Below are 21,479 nucleotides of genomic sequence, written 5' to 3'. Positions count from 1 at the left end.
ATTAGCCATCATTATACACTCTCTTACCCATGGATTTCTACATAGGTTGGCAATGTAGAAGAGTTAAATTCACATTGATGCTTGCAATTAGGAGAATCTCCTTCTGTGCTTTTAGATTTGGAGCTTGTACTTGAAACCGCTATTTGCTTTCTTTGTCCACAACTTCTGAATTTGTCCAGCCCATCTTTCTCAATCAGCCACTACAAAAGTATCTCTTTGTGACTCTGAGTCAGCTGCTTGAGGTGATATCTACCTCTTTCTCTTCAGTGCCCTAGTTACCCATAAAGTGACTTTCATGTATGCTACATGGCCTGTATTCCAACATACCCTCCACGTTTGATGAAAATCCATCTTCAGTGTTGTATTTGTGTGGCAGGGGTCTATCAACTTCGTATCACTTTGAGGTATTTCTCATGTCTCTGCAAAATAAATTTTGTCTGTGCTACATAAATTATACTCTTCAAAATATACTCACATTTGATGAAAATCCAAATGGAATTTTATGTGATATGAGTACAAATTTCTATGTTGGTAAGTATATTTTTCATTAAGTGAATACCTTCCATGCAATAATTTAATTTTTAAATTTTCTTGACATTATTAAGAATTTTATCATAAAGGATGTATCAATTTTGGTATGTGTAAGAAAGCTGTGACTCCTCTTATTCACCTTTTCCATTCAAATACACTTAATAATTAATTAATTCTACCACTTAATTGTAAATTAATTAATTGATTAATTATTAATTATTAACCATTTCTACAAGGTAACTTTTCTACAGATATATTAATAAGCCATATGATAATGCATTTGTTTAATAGGGATTTATTTAGTTTCCTCTTATAAGGCACCATTTTTGGCTCTTGGTATGCAGCAGTGGAAAAAAATGACAGAAAAAACTCTCCTTATTTTATAGGAGGCAAATGGAAAATAAACATATAAATAAATACTTTTAGATCACAAAAACTGTTGTTAATAAATGTAATCAGGCAAATGAGTCACTTTACCTCAGTCTGGCACGGAATGCCTTTCTTAGGAGGTGATGTCTGTGCTGAAAGAAAAACAGCCATGCACATATCTGGAAAAAAGCAAGGAGAATATCAAGTGCAAAGGCCCAGAGAGCACATAGGATCATCAGTAATGTGACAATTGGGAGGCAGTAATGCAATGTTTTAACAATCACTGAACAAAGACTTGAGAAACAAACTCATGCTAAGAATCAAGATAGGGATGTGGATGACTGGATGAGGTCAAGTAAAAAAAAAACACAGATTTTTCGAGTTGATGAGGCTAAGAAACTGAGAAGCCAGGATGTTAAGTAAATTGTCTTCACTGATAATGAAGACTCCAAGAATAATGACAAAAATATTGGTAGAGAAGTGCATCAGAATTAGATTTGGCTGCTAAACCAGAGACCTGAAGGCTTCCACTTATATATTTCACCTGCAGAATATAGTAAGGTTGCTGCAATATAGAATACAACCAAATATCTTACTAAAAGTGAGGGGAGAACAGATGTTAGGGAGGTAAGGGTAAGTCCTTGCCTCATTGTCTTTACTATAAAGTATGAAACTTCAAAAAAGCCTTCTACACATTCATCAATAAGTTTGATGAAAAAATTTAAAGTACTAATTTGTGTCTTGATATTGTTTTATCTCTACTTCAAAGTTAAATCCTGAACCATGGGTGATCTATACCTATTTATAAATAAAAGGATCAATGAAAAATGGTAGAATGATCATTACTTATCAAACTTAAGAAATCTCTACTTCAAATTTCTAGTACTCTGAAAATTCACGACAGTATTCTTATACCATCGTCATACACAGCAATTGCTCAATGCAGTAGACAGAACATAGACAAGCTAGATTAAATGCTAACTCTACTACTAATAACCAGTATGATGGAAGAGAAGTTATTTAATGTAAAAAAAAACTTGAGTTTTCTTCTCCTGTATAATCATGACCTGTGCGAAACACCTAGAAAAATTTAATGGAAGGTAAACAAAAACTCTAAAATACTGCCTTCTCATATCACTGGTTTGGAAGCTATGTTATCTATATTTGAAAGACATAGGTCCTTTAAGTTAATCGTATCTACACATTTTCTAATTGTAGGCTATGTAGGAGTCATTGACTAAACGACAAATATTCTCACAAATATGTTAGGATTGCAATTTATGACCTACTATTGTTTGGTGTAGCCATGAGAGTAGTTTGAGCCAATAGGTTGTGAGCAGAAGTCAGTTCTGGGCTAGACATTGAGTGTGAGGGCAAAAAACTTGCAAGTTCTCATGTTTCTTTTTATAATGCGTGGTAGGCAGAAATCTACAATCCATTACCCTAAGATTCCTGCTGCTTGCATAATTCCCATAGATCTTCCCCTCCCTGTGATGTAGACAAGATCTGTGAACATGGTGGCTTATCATTCCTGTGGTAGATTATATTATATGGCAAAGTTGATGGGATTTTGTAAATGTAATTAAGGTCTCTAATCAGTTGACTTTGTATTAACCAAAATTATTCTAGGTGAGCTTGACCTACTCAAGTTATCCCTTAAAAGACATATTCTCCTGCTGGCCTTACCTTAATGAAGTGAGCTATAATTTTGTCCATGAGAGAGACATGTGATAAAAACTGTGAGTGACACTTAGGACCTAAAAGCATCCTCTGTCTAGCAGTCAACAATCAAAATGGGGCCTCAGTCCTCGATCCATAAGGAATTGAATTCTTCCAACAACGATATGAGTTTGAAAGAGGCCCGTGACTCCATAAGGAATGCAGATCAGCTGACACCATGACTGATATCTTGTGAGACCCTGAGCAAAGAATGCAGTTAGACTGTGCTCAGTTCTTGACCCACAAAAACTCTGAAGCAACAGAAGTATATTGTTTTAAGTCACTGAGTTTGTGGTAGTATTTTACAAAGCATCAGAAAACTAATAAATAATCATCAGTAAACTAATAAATAAAGTATCAGTAAACTAATAAATAAGGTGAACAGCAATATTTAAGATTGTCTGCTCTGGCAGACAAATTTCCTCAATGAAGATTATGTGTACAACACTCTTGCCAAACCACAGTGTACTTATAAGAAGGGAAAAAAGACCAAACCATTCTTTTAAAATATTGAGATTTAGAATTTTTATCTTTTTCTTTTTTTCATCTATAGCCTAAAGTAGCCTATTCTAACTGATACAAATTTGGCACCACAAGCAAGAGACTATAATAACAAAATAACGTATTTTACATTGCTTCAAGTGATTTGCTTAGGTGGTGAGAAAGCTGTTGTTAGTAACTAGAAAGACATTTATTTATGTTGTGTAGTGGAGAAACACATGCTAAAACTGTCAAATGTGATAATTTGCAATGTAGATAATTTATCTTCTGACCCTGCAACTATAGGAAAAGTATTTGAGAAATAGAATGTTAGAAATGTATGTTGGTTACTGTTGGCTGCATTTGAGTAGATAACACAAGAAAGAGATGGATTCAGAAAATAATTGGGCTTGTTTGTAAGCAGGAGTGAAAGTCTAGAGAGAGTCCAACAATGTGAGAAGTCATAGGATTGGAAAAGGCAGTTACTTGTCAACGCTGACCAGTACAAATTAATATAGAGAAATTCTCTGAATAAAAAAGGTCAATTACAACAGCTATGCAGCAAGAATGCAATTAAGGGTTTTGCGATCACATTCACTGTTGTAATCTCTTTGTGGATTAAGATGATGGGAAGTATATCCATTTGAATGGACAAATGCCTTAGCAAAAAAGACTAAGGGTATGACTTTCTCACTAAGCCCAAAAAAGTCTCAAAGTACCTATAGTTAAATTGAGAGAGAGGCATATTTTGAAATTGAGTCTGACTGTAGCTCATGGCACATGGAACTGGCTGTCATCAAGTAGATCTGAAGCTAACTTATTGAGAGTGTTACACTATCAAAGAAACTCTGATCCTAGGCTAAAAACATTTGTGACTATTTAAAACTTAACTCTTGTGTCCTCAACTTTCTACAGAAGCAGGTTAAGAAAGCTGATTAGCCCCTAAAGAAGTCAGACTTCTCAATGCCCATTTCAGATGTAGTGAGATAACAAAAGAGGAAAGATATCTTTGGAGGCAGAGCCAAAGATCAAAGAGACCAAAGACCGGAACTTCCCAAGACTAGAACCAAGCCTAATTGAGAGAAATTGACCACAACAAATAAAGGGTCTTCTCATGAATTTTGCCCTCTGAATTTCAGAATTGATGTAGACTAATAACATCTGTGTATTTCCTTTCTTCCCATTTGTGAATGGGAGGCTTATTTTTGTCAATCATTGCATATTTATTTGAGGGAAGGACATAAAGTTTTGTAATGTATGTCTGGCTCAAGGTTCAGGGGTCATATCTCGACCCAAGCAAGTGACTACTGCTAATTGGAAACATGGACTTTGAGGTTTGAAATTAACTTTATGAGACTTATCTTCCTTTGAGAGAGAGTAGGTATATTTTGCCTTGGAAGGGGAAATGAGTCAAACAGATGGCCAGACAATCGACTGTCCAGCAAGTAATACTGTTCACAAAATATTTCTGTCTCTGTACTCCAGGCTTACAGCAGGATTATGTTTTATAGGTCAATGTTGTTGGGTATAATCATGTGACCTTTTATGTCCAGTGCCCTGTGGGCAGAAGTGGCATATCACTCTGTGGATGAGCAGTTGATTCACAGTGTAACAAACTTCAGAACTCATTGTATCTTACTAGATTTAGATAGAAATATAGCACATTGCTATTATTAATAATGACTGGAAACCTCCAAAAGAAAAAATAATAAATAACTCCGAAAATGATATATCATGTATGATGGAGCTATGGGGTTAGAGATAAGAAGAGAGATTGGGAGCCATAAGGAAGAAGAAAGACAATTAAACAGAAAATTAAAAAAAAAAACAATATAATGCATCTGGGGAAGAGGGAGGTTAGGTGAGCAGTGGTGCGGCATTGTTCCCAGACAGAAAGAGCAATTGTGATGAGGTGGCCCTATTGGTACAGGGCCTGAGTGGACTGCAATGATCTGAGCCTTATGTCATTCCCCTTACTACACATGTAGTGCAAACTAACACTGCAGTATTTTGGATTTAAGTCACTGAGGTTTGGGAGTTACTTGTTACTACAATATAATCTTACCCATTCTTACTAACACAAAAATAAAGTCTTAATTACTGCCCCAAACATAGCTTGTAAGAAAATATATCATCAGATAACCTAATATGGTGTTTAGAATCCTTCAAAAGTTGATGTTTGGAATGGAATTTTGACAACTAATTTTAAACTTCTTTTTACAAGAAATTATGATTATTATCCTGTTGAAAGTTCTACAATGAAATAGTTATTAAACATTATTACATTTAAATGAGAGGGGATTGATATTGCCAGAAGTAACATAGAAGCTGCTTGTTTGATGTGACTCTATTCATATTATTAAGAAAGATTTATTTAAAATTTCATTTTAACTTTGATGTAAGTTGAAGTACTGAAAGTTAAATTTACATGCTTTGAATTAATTTACCTGTGAATTAAGTCTAGTACTCATAGGAAATGTTTCAGCAATTTATTCAAAATCACATGAATATTCATTTTAAGTTTAATTCTACTAAAATCCTTAATTATGCCAACACTTTTATGATGATATGATTGTGATGAAGAACCAACATAGCATCATTTTATTTGTCACCAGAGAAAAGCTATGTTTGTCTCATCAACAAGTTTCAGGGCAAAATTTTTTTTTGAAAGTTTAAGTAAAGGAAATATTATGTGGAGTTGAAATTAAGCATTTTTGCAAAGCATAGCATCACTTTCAGTTAAATCTTTATAAATATTTTGTTGTAGTGCCTTGACTTTTCTTAAGTGTAGTATGTTTTAAAACCATAACATTTATTATATTGCAACTTAGAAGTGATGTGGTTCTCTGAGGAATGAACCATATGCTAGGCCTGTCAGTCATTTTCTGGCTTGGTGAGCTTGAGAAGGTAATTTGACCTCTTTTTCTTCTTTTAAATCTTTGTAAGTGGGAATAATAGCTTATGGGAATGTTACAAATCATAAACAATTTTTACCTACCTGTAGCATTTTATAAGGAAAAAAATAACAACTTAAATTAGAAGTTACGTTAATACAAAGAAATGGATTCAGCTATAGAGAATAGTAATGACTGGTTTTACAAGTAATGCAGAATCAGGTGAAGAAATAAATGTAGAGTGGCAGTATCAGAGGCAGATCGCCAGAATTGGGATACCTGCATTCTGAACGCCAGTTGCTCCTTCAGCTGCTGAGAGGAACACAGTGAGCTTCTCAGACACATTTGGCAGCATTTAAGTGGAGGGATACTAGAGGGGATTAAAAGCAAATAAACCCATTCTTACATTAGATATAATGGAGAAATATAGGTAGGAGTGACAGAATGGGAATTATGAAGGAAAAAAATAAAGCAGGGAAAGGGTGAGGAAGAGAATGCAATTGAGCAGGAGACAAGAGAAGTACCTCGTTAAATAATTTTGAAGACCTTTTGAGAAAAATTTATAGTGAGAACTTATGCTGCCAGATTGTTCTTTCTACTTTTTATTTCAGTTAGTGTAGAATCAATGACAATGTATTGTGTTTGAAATCACTGGAAACAAGGAGGTCTATGAGCACTTAAGGTCTACTGAAAAGATGAATCTGTTTTGGAAATTACATTAATAAAAAGGAGGACATGAATATTAAAACTATTTCATGGCATTTTGTCCCTAAAGTTGATGCTAAATGATGATTCTTACTGAATATGATCTATGGAGAGAAGGAAAGGTCATGGAATTGCTTCAAAGAATTCTGTGACTATTCATGATTTCGGTGAAAGTTAGAGACATATTTGGACAGGGAAACATGGTGATTAAATATAGTGACAAGGTAAAAATGGGAATAACCACCACAAAGGTGCTTTTTATTTAGGGAGAGAAACTATTGATGACATAGAAAATAACCAAAGATATATTATGGAAGTCTACACAAATTGAGTATAATGTGAAGTTGGGTAGAACATAATACTAAGAAAGGAGGATAAGAAATAAAAGTACTTTAGGTTTTACACTTAACGGAGGAATAATGGTGTGTAAACATTTCTGGCTGGAAGGAAGTTCTAATATCTATGCAAATCGTCAAAGACAATGCCATAAAACAGCGACAGGCATTGCTAAGAAAGTCAAGTGCCCAGAAATAAGTGCAATAAAAATCTTTAAGAGTAAATCTTACACAAATAAATGAGAAGAATAAGTTTAGTGTAAGAGAAGAGACTGAGAATGATCATAATACTAATATTTATAAATACTATACCTCCCATTTGTTGAGATGGATAGCTTAGTAGTCAGGAGAAGTTTCTCTGGAGTCATACTGCTTAGATTTGTACCTTGGCTCTACCACATACTATCTGTATTAGCCTATTTTCATACTAGTAGGAAGAAATTCTCAAGACTGGGTAATTTATAAAAACAAAGAGGTTTAATGGACTCACAGTTCCACGTGGCTGGGGAGGCATCACAATCATTGCAGAAGGTGAAGGAGGAACAAAGGCACATCTTACATGGTGGCAGGCAAGAGAGCATGTGCAAGGGAATGCCCTTTGTAAAACCATCAGATCTTGTGAGACTTATTCACTATCAAGAGAACAATATGGGAAAAACCCACCCCCATGATTCAATTACTGCCCAAGGCATCCCTCCCACAACACATGGGGATTATGGAAGCTACAATTCAAGATGAGATTTGAGTGGCAAACCATATCACTATCTGAGTATGACTCTTCCCAAATTGGTTAACACTCTCTGAGACTGTTTCCTCACCTAAAAATTGGGACACAAACATTACTTATCTATAAGATTGTTATGAGAATTAAAGTTACTCTATATGTATTTATCTTGGATTAAACATGTGCATAGCACTTAATCATCTGATATTCCCTTTATTTATATTATTTTAAAGTTGTATATTATCTATCTCCACTTGCTACAAAGTAAGCTAGATTGTGTCAGGAATATTATCTATCTTCTTTATCACTAAGTCCCTAGGAATTAGAATAGTCCTGGCTGACGACAGGTGCTCAATATATTTTTGAACAAATAAGTGAATGAAGGCTTACAGTATTGGTTACATTTGATTGGAGAACAGGGAAAAATTGAGATCAACTCACAGGAGAAAGAAACTCATGTTTTGGGCTGAGATAGGTTTAAAAGAGAGAAGGAAGATAAAAGCAAGGTAGCGAACATCACGGTAAAGGAGCATCAGAATAAGTTGTGAGACAAAATTCCTTCATTTCTACCTTAGAACCAACACCCTGAGGTACAGGGTGGCTGGAAAGATCCAAATAGGTGCGGGGGGATGTACAAAAACCAGTCTGTGAGCAGTTCCCACCTTTCTTCTCTTTCTCTTTTTCTCTCTCCTTCCTTCCTTCCTTGTTTTTCTTTCTTTCTTTGTTTCTTTGTTTCTTTCTTTCTTTCTCTTTCTTTCTTTCTTTTTCTTTCTTTCTCTTTCTTTCTTTCTTTTCTTTCTCTCTTTCTCTCTCTCTCTTTCTTTCTTTTTTTTTTTTTTTTCAGAGTCTCAATTTGTCACCCAGGCTGGAGTGCAGTGGCAAGATCACCGTTGACTGCAACCTCCGCCTCCCGGGTTCAAGCGATTCTCCTGCCTCAGTCTCCTGAGTAGCTGGGACTAGAGGCACATGCCACCATGCCTGGCTAATTTTTATATTTTTAGTAGGGACGGAGTTTCACTATGTTGGCCAGGCTGGTCTGGAGCTCCTGACCTTGTGATCTGCCCACCTCGGCCTCCCAAAGTGCTGGAATTACAGGCATGAGCCACTGCGCCCTGCTCCTTCCTTCCTTCGTTCCTTCCTTCCTCCCTCCCTCCCTCCCTCATTTTTTCTTTTCTCCTTCCCCACTCCCTCTCTTGTTTGCTTGCTTTCTTCTTTTCTTCTTTGTTTCTTAGAAAATTCTCATGTTAGGACGGTACTGGGTTCAAAATCACACAAGATTAATAGAATAGCAATTGCTGAGGAAGATAGTTGGGCGTAAGGACAACTTTACAGAATCCTTCACCCTAGTAGATAGTATAAAGAAACCAGGTGAACATTTTTGGACCTTCATGATATTCAGAAGTGGTGAGACAGTGGGATGGAAGAGTCTGGAGTTGGAGCAAGGTAGCGGCAGATAAAAAGTTTCCAGACCAGGGACAGTGAGAAGGCTTGTGATTATCAGTAAAATGTGCTGGGATTACGACAAAATATCCAACCCTGACAAAGAACAGCTAAGCAGATACCATACTAGAGAGGTTACCCAAGGAGCAGCTGGATCCCTGCACATTACAATTTCTTACAGTCAAAGCTGACTTTAGTACTTTCCTTAATTTTTTGTGTTCCTGACTTTACATAGTTTTTGGCCCCAGTAATTTTTTTTCTTTCAGATTGCACATTAGTTTGAAAATTAAAATTTTATTTGGGATTTTGTTGGGATAATTGAACCAGTATACAATCATTGTACTATTGGAGAAGGAAATGGAAGACAACTTTTTTATGATGTTTGGCTGTGAATGTAAGACTATTTCACAGAGCTGAAGAGAAAAATACATAGGTGAATATCGGGCAACAAGAAATAAAAAAAACACATGGAATAACAGACAGAAGAATTGAGCAATGCACTCAAGTGCTTACAGAGTAAAAATGCCTCTTCATCTAATGGTCTTGGTTATGAGCAACGACTTCTAAGGCTTTTGAAATAGAAGCTGTCCTGCTTATTTTAGTGATATATCGGAAGAAGACGCAATAACCAGCACAGTGATACAAGGTGTGTTAACAGTGGCATTTATGATATGAGAGGGAGGCCATCCAAACTGCAGCCTCTGACATTATTCAACATTGATTTAGAAAATTTCTATAAAAGTTCTGCTGCACAGGTTGACAAGAATATCAGAGGCCAAGATTCACCAAGCCCAGTGGTATATCACAAGTGGCCAGAAAATTGCAGACTATTTGTTGAAATTTAGGAAAATAAATAAAAGCATCAAAGTAGTTTAGAATACTTTTTCTGATGTTTATAGAAAGTTTGTGCTTTTGGTCAGACAAGTCAAGATTGTTTTCCTTCTAATTATGCAAAAATAGGCTTTTCCAGGAGGAAACTACCGGAAAAATAAAGACAAATGTATTATCCTTAGAATAGTGTTCACAGGTTTCGAGATGGGTATAAGAAAAGAACATAAAATAACCAGATAGATGAATATAGGCTGCCAATATAATTCCTTACTATATTGTATTTAGCCCAAACATCCCCTTCAAAGAGGGGCATATCACTGTTTATATGGTATTAGTTGAAGAGGATAATAAATCATCAGTGAGTTTCAGCCCGATCTAAGTAGCTCAGATATATATGTATATGTCAGATAATCTAGACGGAGAGTTAAAGAAAGAACGTTTAAATGGGAAAAAAATTAAAATTCAAAGACATTGAGGGAGCAAGCATAATTTCTAGTCATAAAAATCTTTTACACACATATTGACAAGGAATAATGTGTTTTTAAAAATCGGAAACAAATATCAAAAGATGAATATGTGAGGTTGAGTTTGAATGTTTTGACCAAAAACCTAATTTTATTTTGCATTAGTTGAAGAGCAGTTTCCACAGAAATATTGATAATTTATCTAACAAATTCCTCTGGATTAGCCTACGGATTAAAAAACAAATAAGTGTGTGGCCACATATTTCTTATAAAAAGAAAGATGAAGTATAGATTACTGAAGTATAGATCACAAAATTTTAGTTCGGCTTTTCTAAGCCCATTTTTTAAGTAAGCCTCATTCTTGGGTCTGTCTTCAACCAGATGAGGCCACTTTTAGGATAAATCCTGCTAAGTTAGTTTAGTAAGAATCCCCCCACACCTGATATCTGATCACTCTAGCCTGCTTTCAGCAAGAATTCCAGTAAATCAGTTGAGCTAGGATTCCTCTATCCCTGAAGTCTCCTTTTAATAATTTTCCATCCACTGACCACTTGAGTATGCTTGCTATCTATAAATCTTCACTTGTCCTTATGTTTTTGTAGTTGAGTCTCACCTTTCTCCCCTATTGCTATAGTCTTGACACTATTGTAACAGTCCTGAATAGTCTTCTTTAGTGTTTTAAGAAGTGTCAGTATAATTTTTCCTTCAACATTATATATAATTATTTTATCATATAATACTATTTCATTAAAATAAGACAACTAATGAAGTAAGTTGGTAAATTGACAGGGAACTTTCCAGTTCCACTGCCCACATGTAGAAAGTATGGGCAAGGGAGTATTCTACTGAAAAGAGATTTTCTATTATATCAAGAGATGACCTATGAAAAGGACATTTCAGATTGGAGGATAAAGGTCAAAAGCCTGGGAGTCATAACCTAGAAATAATATTAGACAAATGTCAGCATTCTGTTGAAATAAATGAAGTGAGGATGAAGCCAATGGATAAGGATGCAAAAAAGGTGAACTGTGACATTTCAGGCCTGTCATGGGAAGGCTTTCTCTGAAAGACTCGTAGTTAAACCCAAAAGTGAAGAACTCAACTCAGCGGTAATTCACTCATAAGGAATAAAGTAGATCCATAAATATTTTAGGGATATAGATAAAACCTCCATAGTTTGACTCAGTGCTTAAATTTGAATTGATCACTTATCACATAGTCTCAAAGTATTTTCCAAATAGATTCAGAGACCATTTTCATTAAAAAAAATCTAATATAGCATTCATTTAAAAACTTTAAGAATTATCTTTAATTAAGTTTTAACTTGATCTTTGCAACTGAGAATTCCACAACATATTTCAAGGGTCGTATTTTTTTTTATACTCTCTTCTTGCTTATAAAAATTAAATCATTTAACTCTCATCCCTCTAGTGCACAGGTTACATTGTTGAATAATTTTATAATATTCACTGCAATTCATCAAATACTTAGAGTGCCTACATAATATATTTTCATAAACTTAAAGCTTTTAAAATATAATGACAGTGAATACCTGTAACTGCTGTTGTTCCATGTAACTTCCAAGAGGTAGATACTCTGAGAAATAGATTGTGATTAAACAAAAATAAATTTACATTTACAAAACAACCACAACAGAGAAAAAGCCTTCAGAGTAAATCTGAAATTCTTCAGCTTTATATCCCAGGTCCTTGTGAATTACTTTCTCTTCCTTCCTTCTCACCTCTTGCCATCAGACTATACCTTCCCTAAACCTCTCTCATACTAAATACTGCAGTTCTTTGTATTCTGTCTGTCTCTGTGGTTATGCTTTCATAACTGTTCTTCTCTGCCTAGAACACACTCATCACTATCTTCAACTGCATATGAATTGTGCACATAAGGGCAATTGCCCCAACAGAAATTAAGTATGTAATTTTTTTTTCTTTAATGAGAGCAGATGTCAAATATCTCACAGAAATATCACCTTACAATTGTGGAATTTCCCTCTCTTTTTGAGAATTGCACTCTTTGGCATTAGAGAAGATAGAATTTCTGAGTATAGGGGCATGGGTACCAATTGTTTTAGAAGAATGTATCAGTATTACTCAAAATAGGATTATTGGTTTTGTGAAGAGCAGACCTCTGTCTCAGTTTTCTCAGACCCAGTAACTACCATAAACTGGGTGGCTTAGATACCAGGAATTTATTTCTCACAGTTCTAGAGACTGAGAAGTCCAAGCTGACTGAGAGTCCTAGTGAGGACCCTCTTTCTTAATCTGCAGATAGACACCTTTCTGTATCTTCACATGGTGGAGAAAAAGTGCTCTGGTCTCATCATCCCCTTATAAAGGTAATAATACCATTATTGGCTCCATTCCATGACCTTATCCAAATCTAGTTATATTATCTTTAATGAACTTGATGCTTGCCAATTTTCTTTTCCTTAAGAATACTGCACAATGTTCTCATTAGGGAGATGTGGCACCAGTGGAATGGAGAATTCAGTCATGACCCTTTATTATGGGTTGAACTGTGTTTCCCAAAATTCATATGTTGAAGACCTAATTGTCACCAGTACCTAACAATTTGACTTTATTTAGAGATAGGGCATTTAAAGAGGTAATTGAGGTTAAATGAGATCATACGGGTGAATCCTAATCCAATATAATTGGTGTCCATAGAAGAGGGGATTCGAGCACAGATATGCACAGAGGAAAGACCATGTGAATGTAGAGAGGGAAGATAGACATCCACAAGCCAAGGAGAGAGCCTTTGGAAGAAATGAACACTGCTGACACTTTGATCTTGGATTTCCAGCCTGTGAGACAATCAATTTCTGTTGTCTGTGCCAACCATCTGTGGTGCTTTGTTTTTGTTGTTGTTGCTGTTCTTTTTGAGATGGAGCCTCACTCACTCTGTCTCTCAGGCTGCAGTGCAGTGTCATGATGTCAGCTGATTGCGACCTCCCCCTCCTGGGTTCAAGCGATTCATGCCTCAGCCTCTTGAGTGACTGGAAATACAGACCTGCACCACCACACACGGCTAATTTTGTATTTTTAGTAGAAATGGGGTTTCACCATGTTCGGCAGGCTGGTCTTGAAATCCCGATCTCAAATGATCCACCCGCCTCAGCCTCTCAAAGTGCTGGGATTACGGGCATGAGCCACCATACCTGGCCTTGTGGTACTTTGCTATGTTAGCCCTTGAAAACTAATACATCTCTGTACCCAAGACTTAACACTTTGATAAAGCTTCACTGAAGTAGGCAGCAACTGCCTGCCCTAGGAAGTTGTCAGAGCCTTATCCTACACTTCTGAGGCACTTCACAATCAAGAAACATTCCTTTGGCACTCAATGGCCTGGAGAACATGCTACCTGAATCTTTTCAACCTCCTGCCCATACAGCAACAGAAACCTGATAGACCTTTAACTCAAAGGGCCTAATTAGGTGTGAATCTTCCCATAAGTGTTACACTGTGGAGTGAATGACTTTGTTTTCTGATTCCCTAATACAAGGGGTGAATCTGCGTTAGCACATTTGGACTTTATAGAGGCCAGGAACTTTGTCAGGGCCTCTCCTTGCCAAGCATCAGTCAGAATTTAGTTTTCTTTTTTTTTTTTCTTCATTCACCTATGTAGAAGTGAACTGGACCAGACTGACTTTCCTCCAGAGACTTGAAACTCTAGGAGAAACCCAAAATAATGGATAGAAATATTGTCACTGAACTACTGTCCTCCCTACACTTATTAGCATGTGCAGATTCAACTACACTTACAGAATGGATTGGAGCTGTACTATTTCATCCACTCAAGCTGTGCAGAAAGACAGTCTAGTTACATTCCTTAGTCTTAGTTCACCCATTAATATAAGCTCTATGAGCACAGAAGCTATGTCCTTTCATCAAGTCCTGTTCCCAAGTTCTGGAATAATGTATTCTGGCACATGGTATACTTAAATAAACATTTTAAGGGTTAAAAACTAAATATAAACCAAAATATTATAGTCTTTGTTTCAGATACAATATACTTATACTTGTAATTTTGTGTAAAATCAAGCACGAATCAAGCATGAACTGGTAAACATCTACAGAAATTCTTAGATATTTTGAGGAAGACAAAAAGATGCTTTGAACTGACAAAAAAATTGTGGGGTTTTTTTGTTTGTTTGTTTCTTTGTGTTTTCGTTGTTGTTGTGGGTTTTTTTGTTTTTTGTTTTTTGTTTTGTTTTGTTTTTTGGAAAAGAACTGTACCTGCATGACTGAAGTAAGAAGTAATGGAGAAGGGCTTTGAAAAGCATAAAGGAACATTCTCTTTAGTAGAAGGTCACTGGTTCTTGGTGGTTTCTACAGACCTTTGCTGGAGACTCTTTAAGGCCTCTCCACTACTAAGCCTCAGGCTCAGATCCCACCTTATTTTCTTCATTCCTGTTTTATATTTAAAGATACAGTCCTGGGACTCATGCTGTGTCTGTGTCCTCTTATGGTCTCCGGAGATGAAATGCAATCTTCTGTTTTCTATTGTTACAGAAATAAGCCTAAGATGGCCTCTGTTTATTGGCCACTATGTTCTCTATTCCTTCACTTGCAAGCTGAAGCCCTTAGCTCAAAATTCTGCCAGTTCTAAACTCAAATTTTTACACATCTAATTATTTAAAAATAGCCCAAGCAAGCAGATTTTTAGCCATTTAGGGCCCGCCTGCTTTACATATCCTGCCAAACCTCACCACCACCCCCATCCGCCTGCTAGCAATGGATAAGATAAACCCCAAGCTTTGTTTCTACACTTCTGGGGCTCTGTGACTGAGAGACTCCCTAGTGTGCTGCTGAGGGATATCACCTGGAGAAGTAAGTCTCCTCTCTAATTCCCACCTTCCATAGGAACTCCACTGTCCTCCTCTGCTGGATGGTGGCCTTCACACTGTATACTTCTGGACAGTCTCTTGCTGGGAGAGACATCACCTGTTATGCAACCATGTCTAAGTGCCACCTGCCTCATGGTTATATCTTTTTCCTGGATCAGCTCCTCAATCACTTGAACCCCTGTATACATACTCCATTTCAACTCCTTTTTTTTTTGACACTCTTAGCTAAATTTTTAAAAGTAAGATAGATTAGCCTCTTTACCTTTTCTAACAAGGCATTTATTACAATTGTAGAATAATATTAGATTGGAGCAACTCATGTGATAGTGGAAAGTTGTGTGCTTTGGCATCAAATTCAGTGGTCTTCAATAGTCTTTATAAATAGACTACCCATCTTTCCAGGGTTCTATTCTTCCCCTCTCTAGATATATAGCCAGTTTTAAATTTCTCAGATGCAGTCCAGGCCAGTGGTCACAGATAAACTGTTCCATGTGGCCTTGTTGGTCTGAGACTTGTGTATTGTGCAAAGAGGCCTGTGTAGCAGGGACAGTCATGAGGGCAAAATCCAGGGTGGAATTTTCCACTGATCAAATTAAATCAAAATTATTCACTAATAGTACATTTTTGGATGGGCATTGGTATGTATATGAGAAGGATGACAAGAGAGCAAGAGGTGAACATTAGCAATAGCTTGTTGCTGAAAAATACACCTTGTTTAACTGAAGAAATTCCTTTAAAAAAATAAAAAGATTTGCATGTAAACATTACAGAATTTTTAATGTTTTTCTAGCTCTTTCAATCTTGATCCATGACCTAAAATTCTGACATATTTCTATGACGTGAACCAGAGATTAGACTTCCATACATACTATTTTTCTAAAGCATATCTCTTCACAGTTCTTACTCCAACCCCATCTTTAGTGAAATATATTCTGACCATTATCAAGCAGTAGGTCTGCAGAACTCAGTTTCTTTTGGGAAGACATTTAGACTGAGGAGCATTCATTTCTCTGAGCAGAGTCTATACACAATCAATTTATTTATTTCCTCATAAGAAGGTAATGCTAATTAGAAATGACCTCTGGTAGAAAAAATATTTATGAGACAATATGGTAAGTCACATGTGTATGAGTGTATTTATTAAAAAGCAGAATGGTTGTTTTTAATAATGGTGCAGTTTGCTATGAGGTTTCTTCTCTGACTGCAGTCAGGGAATAGCTTCACAAGGTCATATATGAGTAAAATTTTAACAGCTATGGAAGAAAATACTAGAAGAAAAGAATCAAAGACATAGATAAATAAAACCAAAATGGTTCTAGAAAAATGATGAGTAGCTCAGGTCCCCTGGAACAAATGGAGTGTAGAGAAGAGTAGCTGGATATAGCAAGTGTGGCTTCAATTGAGAACACTTGTGGTTATTGACCTTAATTTTACGGTGGGAAAATACAAAGAAATATAAGGGAAGATACTTTTTTATAAAACCTGGATGAACTTTGAAAGAATTTTATGCATTTCAGCAACATAATTCAGAAGGTATATTTTTCACACAGTTTAACAATCTTTCCCAGTGCCCATCAGTGTGCACAGCTTAATGAATATTTATTGCATGCCAACAACATTTCCTTCAGACAGCCAAAGTGAAGGTTCCTATGTACCAATTTCCTATTCACTTTGCACCCTATATTTTACTAGATATAACCTGTGTGGAATATATTGGTCTTGTATATGGAGACATAACCTGTGTATTAGTCCATTATCACGCTGCTAATAAAAATATATATATGAGACTGGATAATTTATAAAGAAAAGAAGTTTAATTGACTCACAGTTTAGCATAGCTGGGGAGACCTCAGGAAACTTACAACTCTGGCAAAAAGGGAAGCAAATGTGTCCTTCTTCACATGGAAGCAGAAAGGAGAATTGCCAAGCAAAAGAGGAGAAAGCCCCATTGTCGAACCATTAGATCTTGTGAGAACTCATTCACTATCAGGATGACAGCATGAGGGTAACTGCCCCCATGATTAAATTACTTCCCACTGCGTCCCTCCCACGACATGTGGGGATTATGGGAACTACAATTCAAGATGAGATTTGGGTGGGGACACAGCCAAACCATATAAACCTGCTTGCTTCCCCACATGGCTCTAAAAGGCAGAACTATAAATCATGAGTGGAATTTGCAAAGAAGACGATTTTGCATAGAATTTTCTGATGCATAAAGCTGGCCACAATGCAATTATGAGCAGTAATACAATAAAGAGCCTTCACAATTAGTTTTCACCGAAAGGCTAAAAGATGTTCTCTCACTGCAATTTGAGAAAGCTGATGTAGATGGTTTCCAGGGCTTTTCCAAATATAATTTCTTTTGAGTCTTTTGACTGTTATAAACACAGAATCCTTGGAAACAGGACCTATTTCTACAGGTTTCTCTTTTGCTGTCTCCCTGTTATAGCCTGTTAAACTCAAGATCTGCTTTCTGACCCTGAGGAGAAAATTATTCCTTGAGATGGTTGTTAACTGGCAGAGATACAAAATAATCACTAAATTTCTCAGCATGTGCATTATTCTTCATGGTAACTGGAGATTAAAAAGTAAAAAGTCATATTCTAAACAAATTTATTTCTACTTTGGTGCCTTTCTTTTTCAAGAACTATCTTATTCTATATGAACTAAAGAACATCTACTTGTGTAAATTTATCCATATCAAGAAAAAAAAAACAAAGAATTGTTTTGTCAAGTTTACCTCCTCACTATTATGTTTGCAAAGGTGTGGTCTGGTTGTCTAGAAAAAGGAAGGCACTCTATGGAGCAAGAGTGTGCCAGTGGAAGCTGTAACATAGGGAAAAGCAACGACTGAACCAGGGATCAAATAGTTACCCACTGCTGCTTGAGTCCTGCCTTGCAGGTAATTCTACTAATTGCTGTTCATCCATCAGGCTTTCTCAGAAGCCCTGGTTCTAGTATAGATCTCCTGTTACCTCTTTCCCATGTTCACCCAGACACAATCTTGGAAGGGCAAGATCAGAAGGAACCATATTAGAGCTTTCTGCTTCACTGGGAGGCCTGAAGCCTCTGAGCGGCTTGAGGAAAAAATACCAAAGTACTTGTGCAAGCAATAACCATCCTTTGCAATGTCTGTGAAAGGAATTTAAGATGAGGACATGATTCTGCATTCTTTTTAAAGTATGCTCATTTCCTGAATGCCAGTTATTTAAGCTGTTGTATGTTTGATTAGTTTGAAATTGCATGCCTTTTATATGTGTTGGTCAATTTATCTTTAGGAAACTGATGTTTCCCCAAGGTCACAGCAATTATATGCTGTTTTGTTTGCAAGGATGTGTTGCTGAGAGCAAAATGTTAACATCAGTCAGAGATCACCCCATCAGGGTTTATTCCTGAAGGTCTGAATCTCCATGCTAGCTGCACTAAGGGCAATAACAATATGTTATTTTCTTATATAACAACAATAAAATGCTACTTAGTACAATATTATACAAGCCTACTTAGTTTCTAGTTTCTTCTGTAATGTCCCCCATAGCATTGTGTTTTTCCAAGCCTAAGTTCTGGTCTATTGCAAATATTAATGGAAAATAATTACACACAACTCTGCCAGATAGACCATTACTTTCAATTCCCTTTGACTCATTTAGACAAAATAGAATGGATCTTTCTTGATTATTTAATTATTGGGTATAATTACTATAATTACTTAAAATATGTAAGAGGTCTTCTTATGTTCACTGAAGAACAGATAATAAATCAAAAACTACATCTTTAACATTGAGTATTTTCCAAGATTAACATAAAGACAAGAAAAAATAAATCCTGTGATAAGCATATTAGTTGCAAAATTCCTTACAAAAATTTACTAGATATGAAGGTAAGATCTTTGCTTTATTAACTGCTTCATCAGCAGAAACTTGAAGACTGACATTTAAAAGGAATTCATTAAATATCTGTTGAATGAATGAATGAAATTGATTTAAACAAATGCTTAAGCCTGCCATTTAACACAATTCAGAGTTTTTAATATGAAACATAGAAGTGGAGCTTCTAGAAAGGAGTTTGTTTACTGTTTTTGCTTTTGATTTAATAGTAAAATGATAGACTAAGTTACGTTTTTAGCAGCACATTTTTTGAAATATCTTTGCCAGTTGTGTTATGTGTTCAATGGACTTATAAGATCCAGAAAGCTGAGCTGCTCAGGGTACTTGTATCACCTCATCAACAAGGAGACACTAAATATCTACTGTGAATTTATTTCTAAGAAAGAAAAAAAAAGAAATATAAACTCTTGTCTACCTTTAAGGAGAATGGAGTTCAATTGGAGAGAAGTGGACCATGAATGAAGAACTACCAAACATTACAAAATAGTATAATGTGAAAAGCTAAGCTATTTAATGAATTAATATCTTATATTAAAAATACAACACAAAATGTTTTCTTGTTCAAGGAGAGCAGAAAGGACTTTTGTAAACCAGAGGTAGCAATTGGCTGCCTGCAGGCAAGACAACAGACTTCTTTTGCTTTGCCTGCACAATGTTGTAACAGAATGAATTAATATTTAAATATGGAAGATTTTAGATTAATATATGTTTAGATTTCTTCTATGAAAATAATTTCTGAAAACCTGGTATCATTAGACCAGCCTTTTTTTTTTTTTTTGTAGATGAACAGTGGCCATCACCTTTATAAGTACTGATACCTTCACACCAAATGATACTACTTTATTCATTCTTGTTACTTTCATTGAGAACATATGAGTTTGCTAACTCTAGTGTTAACTCACAAAACGTTATCTCCAGACTCCATTGTTTCATTTTAACTTTTTAATACATAAGACATGCATGCCTACGATCTCTTATTTCAGGACAACCAGAGCAACAAGTTTTTTAGGAAGGTAGGTTCTTAAAAGTAGAGTGTGTATTGGACACCTGTGCATTCTAAGTAGTAGAATAGCATTGGGAGATATACCTAATGCTAGATGACACGTTAGTGGGTGCAGCGCACCAGCATGGCACATGTATACATATGTAACTAACCTGCACAATGTGCACATGTACCCTAAAACTTAGAGTATAATAAAAAAAAAAAAAAAAGAAAACAGAACTAGAACCATCATTATTCATCCAGTGCTTTGCATTCTGTGACTTTTCATGTTACTTCAGTTTTAGCAGTTTATCATTTTATTAACTTACAGAAAATTGATTCTCAAGGGGAAGAGTCATTTTTTACAGTGGACATTCTGTTTTGGTGGTGTTAAAATTCTAAGGGGTTGATAATTTAAGCTGGAAGAATATTTCTTTCATTTGGTCATATCAGCTTCTTTTCCAAAGACATACAAGCCTCACCAGCATTCTAGATAGCACCACAGATTTATTTCCTCTACCATTTTAATTTATATATTCTGTAATTTTTTTTGTCATGGAAAAATTTGTTGAAATAGAATTGGTTGTAAAAGATAAATTTGTAAAATAAATGTGGCGGGAAAGGAAAGGAAGGAGGGTTGGACTTTGGTGTGTCCTTTGCCAGCTTATGATTTTCTACTATATGCAACACCTAGATTTCCTTTTGGAGACTTAACTTGTCTTGTTTCCAGTAAAATATACACACGGAGAAAGAGAAAACTGAAATATGTTCTTTTTTTTCATGAGAGAGCGGTGTATTACAATTCAGGTTAGTGCGGCTTCATATCTCAACAATATCCCAAGGATAAAGTAGTACATGTTTTACCATCGGGAGGTGAGAAAACTTAAGTCAGTGGTATCTTACTGTTTGGGGAATTCTAACATTCAGAGGAAGCCATTCAAGTTCAGTCAATCGGTGTAAAAGTGCTTTCCCTCTATATCTCTTTACAGTTATAATATTGTTGAAAGTAACAAGTACTTCCAAACCTTCTAGTGGCTTTCAATTATCAAAGAAACACAGTTAATCAAAGCTACAATCACTGTGTTAGATGTTGAGCCATAAACTGTAGACTCTATTCTGAAGAGCTCACATCCTAGGGAATATACAAAAACTAAGCAGGGAAATTAAAAACCAGTTTTCTCTCTCTCTCTCTTTTTTTTTTTTTTTTTTTTTTTTTTTTTTTTTGAGACGGAGTCTTGATCTGTCACTAGGCTGGAG

General features: G+C 35.8%; 1 long non-coding RNA gene across 1 annotated transcript; it reads right to left on the bottom strand.

Annotated features, from left to right (window-relative positions):
• Positions 1 to 333: 333 nt before the first annotated feature.
• LOC105371661 (uncharacterized) lies at positions 334 to 17,349 on the bottom strand. Its single transcript, XR_001737813.2, has 3 exons — positions 17,180 to 17,349; positions 1,009 to 1,079; positions 334 to 419 (listed from the first exon to the last, which is right to left on the bottom strand). It is a non-coding gene; the product is annotated as an uncharacterized LOC105371661 (long non-coding RNA).
• Between the last annotated feature and the right edge of the window lie 4,130 nt (positions 17,350 to 21,479).

The sequence above is a fragment of the Homo sapiens genome, chromosome 1 (genome assembly GCF_000001405.40).
Source record: "Homo sapiens chromosome 1, GRCh38.p14 Primary Assembly".
Lineage (NCBI taxonomy): Eukaryota > Metazoa > Chordata > Mammalia > Primates > Hominidae > Homo > Homo sapiens.
The sequence above is the reverse complement of the archived record's forward strand: the minus strand, read 5'-3'. Positions and strand labels throughout refer to the sequence as shown.